The sequence below is a fragment of the Homo sapiens genome, chromosome 1 (genome assembly GCF_000001405.40).
Source record: "Homo sapiens chromosome 1, GRCh38.p14 Primary Assembly".
Taxonomy (NCBI): domain Eukaryota; kingdom Metazoa; phylum Chordata; class Mammalia; order Primates; family Hominidae; genus Homo; species Homo sapiens.
In genome coordinates, this window is record NC_000001.11 from 164,640,642 (window position 1) to 164,652,754 (window position 12,113).

The 12,113-nt window shown below is 43.8% G+C and overlaps 1 protein-coding gene across 12 annotated transcripts in view, besides 1 other annotated feature; it reads left to right on the forward strand.

Annotated features, from left to right (window-relative positions):
* PBX1 (PBX homeobox 1) overlaps positions 1–12,113 on the forward strand; it is a 326,864-nt gene that overhangs the window by 81,458 nt on the left and 233,293 nt on the right. The window contains exon 5 of one of the 12 annotated variants that reach the window (XM_047421787.1): positions 388–4,328. The exons of the other annotated variants lie outside the window; for them this stretch is intronic. Coding sequence (XP_047277743.1) covers positions 388–818 — 431 coding nt within the window. The 3' untranslated portion in view covers positions 819–4,328. Of the gene's footprint in view, positions 1–387; positions 4,329–12,113 lie in introns of those variants that run through there. 12 annotated transcript variants of the gene reach the window in all.
* Positions 10,160–11,286: an enhancer, noted in NCBI's record as "VISTA enhancer hs1235". NCBI's record gives its function as "enhancer in: hindbrain (rhombencephalon)[6/8]" and the evidence as "EXISTENCE:transgenic organism evidence [ECO:0001131][PMID:17130149]".

Genomic DNA, 12,113 nt, shown 5'->3' on the forward strand with positions numbered 1-12,113 from the left:
TGCCTCCCAGGGTCAAACAATTCTCATGCCTCAGCCTCCTGAGTAGCTGGGATTACAGATGCCCACCACCATGCCTGGCTGATTTTTTTGTATTTTAGTAGAGACGGGGTTTCACCATGTTGCCCAGGCTGGTCTCCAACTCCTGAGCTCAGGCAATCCGCCTGTCTTGGCCTCCCAAAGTGCTAGGATTACAGGCATGAGCCACTGCAGCGGCCGGTTCCTTGTGTCTTAAAGCAAACACAGGCACAGTATTCTGGGCAAACCAGATGTTAATAGCTTGACCTCTCTGTCAAAGGAGGACTTGGTTGCTTAAGACCCTTAAAGCTGTCAAAGTTATAGCTTCTCCAGGATACTATCATCCTCACCCATTTCTTATTCTCTTTGCAGGGAGAGATCATCTCTCAAAAAGCTCCCATCAGAGCAACCATTCTGGGACTTTGAGCAGAATGCTTAAGGCAGTGGTTCTAAAATTCCACACCACCTGTTCTTCCAGTTGTGTCCTCTCTGAGCTGCCTCTGACGGTCACATTCCATGGCCATGTGCCACAGCAGACTTGTGATACTGATTTTAGTGTTGTCCTTGGCCATTGGGGGAAGGGAGGAAGGAGAGAGAAGAGAAGGGGAGAGAAGAAGAGAAATGGGAGTGGGGTCCATTCATCCATCTCTCTTGTCATTAGGGGCCCAGCAGTTCCCACTATGGTACCTAGGAAACTAGCTTGGACCTGGAGGCCATCCAGTGACCTAGTCTGGGCCAGTAAAGCCACCAGGCCATTTTCCTGCTTCGGACATGCTTTCTCAGCTGCCCTCCCCCTTAGCTAAGGCTGAAATGACTCATCTTCCCGTGCCCTAGTTCCACGGGGTTTCATCTCTGTGACTCGGGACAGAGGCCTTGGTTGCCACCAAAGGCAGCTTATGGTGTAGCTTCAGGTCTGGCCTGACTCAGTGGCCTTCCCTCAGCTATTCACTACAGAGGCAGTTAATGAAGAAGACACAAGGGTAGCAGGCCTGAGGGATAACTTCAAGGCTAACGTGTCTTTTTTCCAGTACTTACTCTTCTTTTGAATTTTAAGAATTCCAGATTTTATTCTAAGTCAGAGAATACTGTGAGAAAGGATTTTATTGTATCCACTCTCTCCAAATGGTGTGAACATCTGGATTTGCATCCTTCCCATGACAGATATCACAAATTGGGTTGGGTTTTGCATGCTGAGGATGATTTTTGGTATTCAGCTAACACCCTTCCTTTAAGGAAGTTAGAACACTTGATAAATTTTAAGCTTTTGATCCTCAGTAGTACCCCTGGAAAATTAAGGTCCAGTGAGGTAAATTGTCTTGATTAATTATATGACATGCACTGCTTTTTGGTGGCTCTTTTGTTGTGTTTTGTTTTTTCTTTCTCCTTCATTTTGTTAAAATGAATTATGTGAATGTCCAGGTTAGCAGTGTTCTATTTTCATAGGATAAGCCCCATCTCTAGTACTGTTTATTTCCATTGTGCCTATTTTTCAGGGAACTCTGTGCATTTCCACATTTCCATCACCAGCTCTAAGAAGGTACACCTGCAGTTTGTTGTGACCCCGTTTCAGAACGGACAGAACCAAGTGCAGGCTTACTCTATTTGGTAGAGACTGAGTCCCAGCAAGTAGAAGTGTCTTGCCAAGGGGATGCAATTATGAATAGGAAATGGAACTAAAAATAGAACCTAGGTATGACCCCAGATATTTGACCACTCTCACCAACATGATTTCTCCTTTTGGTCTCAGACCAGGACATTCAAGGCATCTCTCCATTTTCATATGGAGAAGCATCCAACTATGTCTCAATGGTTGATTAGGAGACCATATCCTTCAGGAGTCATGTTGAAACTTGTCAGGGTAGTTCCTAAGGTCCTGAGGCCTAGGATAGTACTGTATCCTGGCCCCATGAAATCTGTGGTAGATGGTAAGTGTTCAGTATGAATTTATTTATTTGGTTAGGTGTTTTTTATCATGGTGAATACAGTTCCTTTAATATCAGCAAGGACTTAGTGAACATGTGCTCTTTGCCTCACAGAAAATAGAAAATGAGATATTAGAAGGAAATAGAACAAAAACTATTTGCCTTCAAGGAGCTCACAGTCTAGTTCTGGAGACTGGACATAAGCAGTCTCTGCTCTCTGCTTGGACTGGTGTCACTGTGATCATTCTAAGGTAACGAGCCACCTTTTATTCTTTTACCCAGCCCAGTTGTTTCAGATGAAAGGATAGAGAAGCTGGCGTCTGCTGTGATGGAGTTGATGTTTTATTTTAAGATAAAGTATAGAAGCAACTGATTGATGGATTATAAACTGGGAGGTCCAGGATAAAGCTTCATTCTGAGGGCATCAGTATATTTCACTGGGAGCCTCCTGGGCATTAATTCTGCCGTTAATTTTGTTATTAGAAACCTAGCCAAACAAAGGGAGGTGGCGAAGCTTGAGGCTGGTTTAACCTTGATGAAACAGTGATTTCACCAAGGATGATGTTGCCCCATCCATCTTCATCCATCAAGGCACTGCTGAAATATGCTAATGAAGCCCAAAGATAGGAGCACAGAGCAGTTAAATGGGGCGTTGCAGACGCTCTCCCTACCCCCGTGACAGGGTGATGCCATTTACTCTCCAGATTTAGTATAGGAAAGAGAGCAATGCTGACGTGGTGTCGTGGTGGAAGATAGAATGGAGGCTCCACCTAATAAAAAGAAAGGGCAAAGTTCAGGGTATATATTCTAGAAGAAGATGGGAAAACTTGGTTTTTGGTGAAGGGGTTGGTTTTCTTAATTCTCTTTGGCTCACTTTCTAGCCAGTCCACACAAGAACCAGATATGTGGCATACTGCAGATAGGGCAACATTTTTAAGTTCCAGAATGTGACCTCCCACCATGTGCCAAAGCAAGTTATTTGTTACCATGTCAGTCTGCAGCACTGTTTGTTTCCAATGGTACATGAGCTAATACCTTGGCTTTATTTATTTATTTATTTAAGTTACAACCTTTTGGATACTTATGACATGCTGGGCATACTACTGAATTATTTTATATGAATTAATCTAATCAGATTCTTACAAATAGCCAACGAAGAAGCAAAGTTATCACATATATTTTATAGATGAAGTTTGAGAGGCTAAATTCATGTCCAAAATTATGTAACCAGTAAGTGGCATGGTTGGGGTTTAAACTCATGTCTACCTGACTCCAAAGCCCTTGTACAAAATCACTGTGGTCTGAAGACTCTTATGTAGGTTATAGCTGAGAATCCCTGATAACCATTGGGAGCAGCTTGACTCACATATTTATTGCTTGTATATTCTTTGGGTTCAGTTTAACTTTAACTTTGGCATTCCCTTCACAATTCTTTCTTTTGTAAATAGACTATAAGCTCTCTGAGGTCAGCAGCCAAGCCCTTTCTCTAATCTCCTAAATGTCGATGATGTCCCTAGTTTCTATGTGGAGTGTTTACTTTTGGCATCATGCTTCTAATATAGGGTTAAAAAAGGCTGGCCAGCTGCTTTCTGGTTTTCATTTCATACATTAGATGAAAGCCGTGGGGGATTTTACTTGTCTTTACAAGTTAATTCTACAGGATTCACAGTTAAATTTCTGTTTCTTTGAATTTATTGGTGGATCCACTTTTGTTTCCTACTAGTACATTACCTATCTAGTCTATATCCAACTGTACAGAAAAAAGTAAACCGCAAATGAAATTTTATTATTATGTATTAAACAGCATCTTTGGAGCAGTCTATATTAGGAGGTGTGTGTCAAATTCTGCTCATCTTAGGACCCTAGACAGTTCCTCTAAGAGAGCCTGCCACCCTTCGCTTACAAAATGCAGACCCTGAGCTAAGAGGTGGTCTTGGGCAAATCAGGCAAAACAATTCCTAAATCTAAAACGTTTATCAGCTTTTGTTTTTTTTTTTCCTAAATGGAGATAAAGTTGGAAGTTAAAAGCAAAAAAGAAGGATGGATTAAAAAATATTTAAATAAGATGCCAAGTAACATGAATTGCCTGAAATAGACTGTTTCAGGATAAAAACTGTATCTTGGCCTTAATGTGTCTTGTGCCATTTATTAAATCAGTTCTGAACTTTGGGGACTCCAGACTGTTATTAAAGAGTTAATAACCAAAGGCTTCAACGTCCAGGATGTTGTGTGGGTCAGTGTATCTTGCCAAGAGGTAACATCAGCCAGTGGAATCAGTTGGGCTCTCCGTCTGGCAGATCTGTCTCTTTCAGCTGCTCCTCCTCCAGTTTCTAGTCTTGGAGTTCATATACAGTAAATCTTTCTCTTAATAAAGCCGTTTTTCAAATCTGACTTTGGACTAGGGACTGCTTTTTCTCCAAATGCAACAGCTGTTAAACATGGTGCATTGGGCACGGTGTATATCTCTTTGTTTAGTTTTGGGTTTTTAATATGAGCAGAGACATAAAGGAGTGGGAGGACTCTATCGATTTCTTTCTACCCATGAGTCATCCACTGGGTTTGGAAATAAGGCCTCCAGCCTCAAAAGGCTTCTGGGCTCCCTGGGCTTCTCACCCTTAAGGATGAAGCCTATTGTGCCCTAATAACCAGTACAGGATTCCCCCCCTTCTTTTGGTGAGATAGAATTGTAGAGCTCAAGGTGTCCGCCAGCAGAGGCCAGACCTTTTGGCCCCTATCTGTCCCATTTACATGGGGAAAAGCATTTTTGCCCCCTTGCTCTCTGGTCCTTCTGTCACTGTCTCTGTTCCCAATGCACTAGGGAGCATTAACTCCCTGAAGGGGAAAAAAGTTCACAAAAGAAATGAATTATGCATATGGAATTCATTTCCTTGATGAATAGGGAATCTGAACAAACTCCATGGCTGTTTGATTTTAAGGCAGAGGAGAAGGGGGGCTTAGGGCTAAAGAGTATAGTGGGGGGTGATCAAAAAGAACTTGGAACAAGAGAGGTGGGAGAAAAACCATGGCAGGAGGACTTGGGATGGAAATATTGAGGACAAAGTAAGGGGACCTTTGAAAATAGTTGAGGGCCCATTATTCTTGCCAACACGTACACACAGATATATACCTCACTCCCGATTAATGTGCAAATTTGTCCCCAGGGAAATTGGAAATGGTAATGAGATTATACTGGGCAGAAATGACAACACTAAGGTGATGTGACCGTCCTGAATTAAAGTTTTTCAGTGATTTTTTAACTTTCTTCAGTCCAGGTTAACAATGGGCGCTTTGAATTTTGAGGCAGGAGTTGTGTGATAGGTAAAGAACTGCATTGAGAAGTGGAAGACTTGGATCCAAGCCTCAGAAGACACAGACTGTGTGACTGTGGGCAAGTCACCTCATCTTTCTGTCTCAGTTATCTCATCTATAAGTGGGGATTATGGCAACTGCCCTGGGGAAAAAATTATAAGGGCCAAACAAAAGTGCTTTTATGCATAACACAAGATGCGAATCTGAAGGGATTTTATTTTTCTCTCTGTGCCTCCTTTTCTTGATGGCATTTTGGTTATTCAGACCTAGTCTTTTCAGCAAGTCAGAATTTCTTTGGAGCAGAAGAATGAAGGGGAAATTGATTCAGGAGCAGCATGCTGGTTAAAGGAACAAAGAAACAAGTGAAAAATCCCATTTTAATCCTCACCGCATCTATGTTATGAAAACCATTTAAAATAATCAATCTGATGTTTTTGGCAAATTTAGGTACTGAATCAGTAGTGGTTACTGCATAACTAGTTTGATCAACAGTAGGAAAGCTTGTCATTGACAGCCACATACATTATGGAATCAACTAGAGGGTGGTTTTTAGAGCTTCCCTTGTAGGCTGACTACCTAGAAGAGGCAACCTCTGACCTGGCTGCCAAAGACCTGTGGATGCTTCTGATGGGGAGATATGGCCAAACCGACCCCTTACTTCTAATTGTGCTCCATTATTCCTTGTTTCTGAATGCAAAAAAGACTTGGGGACACCAAGTCTTCAGGAGAGATAATAGGTAGAAAGTCACACATACCTGTGTACATTTGTTAGGATATGTCCCTGCTCGTTGAGAGGAGAGAGTTTTTTTGATAGTTATGGGGTCTTAAATCCATTTCAGGATTGAGTAGATTGAGCAGGTCCAACTACCGCCATGTCTCTTTATTTTTCTCACCACCCAATTTCAGTACATGCAGTTTTTCACAGAGGTGTGTTTGCTTTACAGCAAATCCTTTTTAGGGGTCAGGATGTGTAGTGGAATGCCATTGTATCCTTTAGGACTGCCCACCGCAAACACATGCTGTGCACTCATACCTTTAGTGTGGTGGCATTCAGTCTGGTCTGCAGGGCATGGCCCTCGGAAGAGTGTGGAGATGTCCCAGGACAGCCTTCCTGGTAGTAAGGGGGGCAGCCCTACAGGCTCGGGGGTCCCACCCCAACTTCAACCCCTGCACCTTTGTTTCATGGATTTTATTTGCTTGGGTTTGTGGGAAAGAGTCTGCTTTTAAGTAACCTTTGAAACCCAGTGGTGCAGAGAATAGACCAATGCCTAGTATGAATTATTTATTTGTTTATTAAGATTTTCATGGCACCTTCCCTTTCAAAGCTCAAGGCACTGAATGAACTCTTCAAACTGATAGCAGTTAGCACTAAAGGTTGAACAGGGGCCGTTGGAGGAGGAACCACTAGGGAGGATGAGAAAAGAGGGAGGAAGAGCAGAGAGAAGAGCACGGCAGTCCGGACCCCAGAGCCACCACTACAGCCAAAGGAGGAAAATCGTAAAGACTGCAGGCTTCCCAGGAAGGAATCCAGCCCTGCTGGGAAGTTGTTTTGTTATCAGGGAAAGTCACTTCCTTCTGTCAGCCTCCTCCATGAAATCGAGGTGACCTAGTTGACCCCCTGGGCCCCTCCCAGGTATGATCTTTTAAGAAGCCTGAGGAGCTTTCCTTTTTAGGTGAGCAGGCCTAACCCTTCTGCCAAGTTGTTACGGCAATAAAAATCATCATAAAATTTTTTTTAATGTTATGCATAAACCTTTCAATAACAAGTATATTTGGTACAGAGTGGTTTTCAACCCTGGCTGAACATTAAAATCACCTGGGGAACTTTTAAAAAATATTACTGGTGCCTGGGATCTACCCTGGAATGATGAAATCAGAACATCTGGGGGCTGGTGCTGAGCATCTGTATTTTCTCAAAGCACCCCAGCTTTTTTTTTTTTTTTTTGAGACAGAGTCTTGCTCAGTCGCCCAGGCTGGAGTGCGGTGGCGCGATCTCGGCTCACTGCAAACTCCGCCTCCCGGGTTCATGCCATTCTCCTGCCTCAGCCTCCCGAGTAGCTGGGACTACGGGCGCCCACCACTACGCCCGGCTAATTTTTTTGTATTTTTAGTAGAGACGGGGTTTCACCGTATTAGCCAGGAAGGTCTCGATCTCCTGACCTCGTGATCTGCCCATCTCGGTCTCCCAAAGTGCTGGGATTGCAGGCGTGAGCCACCGTGCCCAGCCCACCCCAGCTTTTGTGTTATGCACTGGGGTTGTGAAATACCCGGGGACCTGGGAAGGCTGACAATAGGAGGTGAGCTTGAGTGTGCCCAAAGAAAGGCAAAGAAAGGCTTATTATTAGGGGTGTGATTTAAGTGTTTCCAATTAACAGTGGAGGAAGGAAACTTAAAACTGTACTTTGAAGTTACCAAGCTCTAGGTTATTCTTATAGTAAGTGTAGCCCATTTGGCTTGTGTAACTTATTTTTCACATACTTCAAGGCCAGGAAACTTCAGAAGTGTCACAGCAAGTTCTTTGGCCACCTCCTCACTAGCTGGCTCCCACTGAAAGTGTTAGCCACATGCCAGCTACCGTTGTAGGGAAATCACACTTAGGATATTTTACTTGCACGCAGCAGAGAGGTTGCTGTTATCCTCCCCATTTTACAGAGAAGGACATGGAGGCCCAGAGAGGCTACATAATTTTCTCTGGGTCCCAAAACCTGTAAATAGTAGAGAAGGGGATCAAACTTGTTTATCTTACTCTAAGCTACCCCACTCTTTCTACTATACCTAATGCCTCTTAGAATGACCCTGGACTTGTTGATTTGTCAGCTGCTTGCCCTTGGCGGGAGGGCGTTTGGCTTTCTTTTTCAGATAGGAGAGAAAACATGAGAGGAGAAATCAGCTTCTGCAGAGATTACCTTAGAGATTGAGCAAGGCAGTGTAATGTAATGAAAACATGCACCAGAGCAGGGGCCTCTAGCCCCAGGGGCAGGCTTGCAATTAGAACTGGGCTAAAAGAAAGAAAATTGTGGGAGGGTCCAAATGAGTAATATGGGAAACATGCTTTTTGTTTAACTGTGATACCTTTGGTATCACAGTTTTGTGATTGATGTGACTTAGGCTGTTTGCCTCTTTCATTCCAAGATGACACACCTCTGTGGGGTTACTTTGTGTTCATTCTGGACCTGGATCATTTTCAGGGGGTCCATGCTAGAATGTACTGCAATGTGGGAACATTGGCCTACAGATCTAGTTAGGTCCTCTCCCACCGCCATGCGCTTAGTCACTTCACCTGCTGCCTTCCAAAACAAATGGGCTGTGTGTGTCTCCTTCCCTTAACAAAGTATTCTATAATCATATTTTCTAGCTTAAAACAAAATTAGTCTTTTAGATGTAAAACACATCTAAAGCACTTTTATTAATGGATCGCTTTCCTTCAGGGATTACAGTGCTTAGTATGAGGTGCTGACTCATCTATTTTCATGCCATATAGGGAAGGAAAGTGTTAACTATTTTCGAATGTAGAGAATACTTTTGTTGGGAGTCTCTAAACCTTAAACCCAGGACCTGTTTGACAAAACTGTCATCCTCCCAACCCCTTGAAAAGATAATGCCCTAAATCTATCAGTTTTTTCCCCCCAGTATGCGAAAGTGGCTGTTTTCTGGTGTTAGTTGTTCCTATGTGTGGCTTGGAGCCATGGCCACTTGGCTTCCTAGATTGTGTCCCATGAATTCAAGCATAAGGAGCTCCCAGTCTGCTGCACCTGGCCTCCCTTGTCCTTCACATCCCTGCAGCATACTGTAGCAAACTTTCAAGTTAGCTTTTTATTGCATTCCACCCCCTGCCAGGGAGCAAACTTAAACTCATGCAACTCAAAATGACCATGCTGGGTCTGTTCTAAGTTTGAATTTGGACCTTGATCCAGCCTTCACATACTTTCTCTTATGAATTCCTCTTAATGCTAGTTAATAAAAATATAATGGCTTTCATGTCCCTTCTCATAATAACATTGCCAGCTTTGGGGGTTCTTTGAAAACTTTGCTTGAGAAGTCCATGGCCAAAAAAAAACAAAGATATTTGGCTTTAAAATATGGTCTTTGCTTACCAAACTCCTCTCTCTGAGGAAGGGAGAGAAAGAGTTGAAGGTTTCTGGGAAAGGGGCATAGAAGCAACTCTTAACTCTGGCCATGTGGATCTGCAGACAAAATTAGGGCAAATGTAGTGCTACAGATCCCATCCCCGGGCCTCACATTGTGGCCAGCCATATGGAGTCAGATTTGGAGACTTTTTGGAGATGGGGAAGCCACTGGACTCTTAGGCATCTGGTGTAAAGAGAGACTTTTTCTTTGCTACTTTTTTTTTTTTTTTTTGAGATGGAGTCTTGCTCTTTTGCCCAGGCTGCAGGGCACTGGCGTGATCTTGGCTTACTGCAGCCTCCGCCTCCCAGGTTCAATAGATTCTCCTGCCTCAGCCTCCTGAGTAGCTGGGATTACAGGCACCTGCTACCATGCCTGACTAGTTTTTGTATTTTTAGTAGAGACAGGGTTTGACCATATTGGCCAGGTTGGTCTTGGACTCCTGACAAGTGATCCGCCCGCCTCAGACTCCCGAAGTGCTAGGGTTACAGGTGTGAACCACCATGCCTAACTATCGTTGCTACTTTCTATTGGAAGAGAAGGCAGCCCTGATTTAGTCTGTTTACAGTCTGCATTATGTGGAGAATAGAGAGCCATCATAGTCCCTAAAACTTTCCTTGCCAGTTAACCCAGCAGGACAACCTGTCTTTGTCTCTTGACAACTGTTAACTGAGAACAGGGCCCTTGCTCCTCTAGGTGTGCACATTAAGGACTTTGCACAGTGTGGATGTAGCTCATGCTGCTCTGCCGTCTAGTACATGCTGCTTGAATTTTCATCATCATCCTCCACTCCTTCCACCTCCAAGAAAAAAAAAAGCGTGCAGGAAGTAGCATTTCAGATCCTTCTCCACCACCTCTGCTTCCCTTCTCCCTTCTTTTCCTCCTTGCAGCATTCCCTTTAGTACCAGGGAGGGATGGTGGTTGAAAATGGGGGGAATGATGTTGCTCAGAAAAAAAAAAAATCAGCCTAGACCTTAAGAGGTGAGGGGAAAGGAAAGAACACTTCAAGCATAGCCCAGCCCAGGCATGTCAGCTCCCACCCCAGCCTCCTTGTACCTCCCATCTCTGAAGGAGGGTGATGAATTCGGTTTCCACCAACATTAAACTGATAAATGAAATTTGTATGTTAAAACAATGATAATTTAATTGTATTTTATTTCCTTCTTTCCCATCCACACTTGGATCTCACCCCCCTCCCCATTACCCACCCTTCAGCTTTGGGGAGGGGGTGGTGGAGGCTGTGCAGGGGAGGGGGTGGTGGAGGCTGTGCAGAGGCGGGGGCATTGCAAGCTGTCGGTTTGCATTGTGCGGACGGGGAAAGGTCTCTACCTGGCTCATTTTGTCCCCTTTGCTTAGGCTGTCACTGCTGACAGTCCTCATGTTTATTTCATCTCGCGTGGTGGCTGTCTCGTTTCCCTACCCTCCGATGTCATTAACGCACAGAGAGCGGGCCCTGCAGTGTTGAGCCTAATGAATTCCGCTGTGGCTGCTCTGCTCCCCACCTCGTTACCAAAGCTCAAGGTGTCAAATTAAACCCAGCCTAGAGAGAAAGAGAAAGTGCAGGAGAGAAGCAAGAGCAGGGGAAGAGGGAGGTGCAGAGAACACATAAACAACCCTCCAAAAAGAAGAACAGTTGAAGGTGGGGGGAGAAGAAAGGAGGGGAATGAGACAGAGAGGAGCCCACAAATGGGTGACTTTCCTCCTGCGACCAAATCCACTTTAAGCATGGTGACATCCATGACTCACAGCAGGACCTAATGACCTATTCTTCCCCGGGTGGGGTTTGTACCTTGGCCTTGGCTGCGGTTTGTTGCTTTTTCCTCGTTGTCTGGTTGATTTATTTTCATGGTTTATGCAGATTGGGCACCTCGCAAAGCAGACAGAGCAAGTAAGAGGAGTCAGAGCTTATGGAGGGAGGGTGTGTGTGTGTGTGTGTGTGTGTGTGTGTGTGTGTGTGTAAGGAAAAGTAGAAGCCAAATGTGAGCTCTTGGTTTGGTGGCTCTGATCAGCTGTGGAAATCTATGTTTCAAAATGGTAGAAAGAGGAAATCATCACTTTTTTTTTTTTGGAGAGGGAGTCTCTGTCACCAGGCTGGAGTGCAGTGGCACAATCTCAGCTCACTGCAATCTCCGTCTCCCAGGTTCAAGCCAGTCTTCTGCCTCAGCCTCCCAAGTAGCTGAGATTACAAGCATGTACCACCACACCCAGCTAATTTTTGTATTTTTAGTAGAGACGGGATTTCACCATGTTGGCCAGGACGGTCTCTATCTCCTGACCTCGTATAAATTTAAATAACCCCTGTGGGGGTACTCTAGCAGATTTTCCTCCCCTCACTCCACCCCAATTTGGAAAATAGTGATTCATTTCATCTCTTTTCTATATAACCTTGTGTCATTTACAAAGCATTTTCCTTTATATTATTGGCATTTTATATTTGGGGCATTTTGTTGGAGATGACCATTAATAGATTCTTCCCATTCTACAGATGGGAAAAATGAGGGATAGAGATGTTAACTTACTTGCTCAAGGTAATAGAACTAGAAGGTGAGAGAAGAGGGTTACATTTCAGATCCTCCCTTTCCAGAATTCAGTGTTTTTCCCTTATACCACTAAACTTCCTAGATTTTTGTCAAGAGGTGGGAGGAAGTTAAAAGATAAATAAGCTTGTGAATTTTAAAACTTGAAAATTTATATACAGCAAAATAGTTAGACCTAAAATATACAGTTTGAAGTGTTTTGACA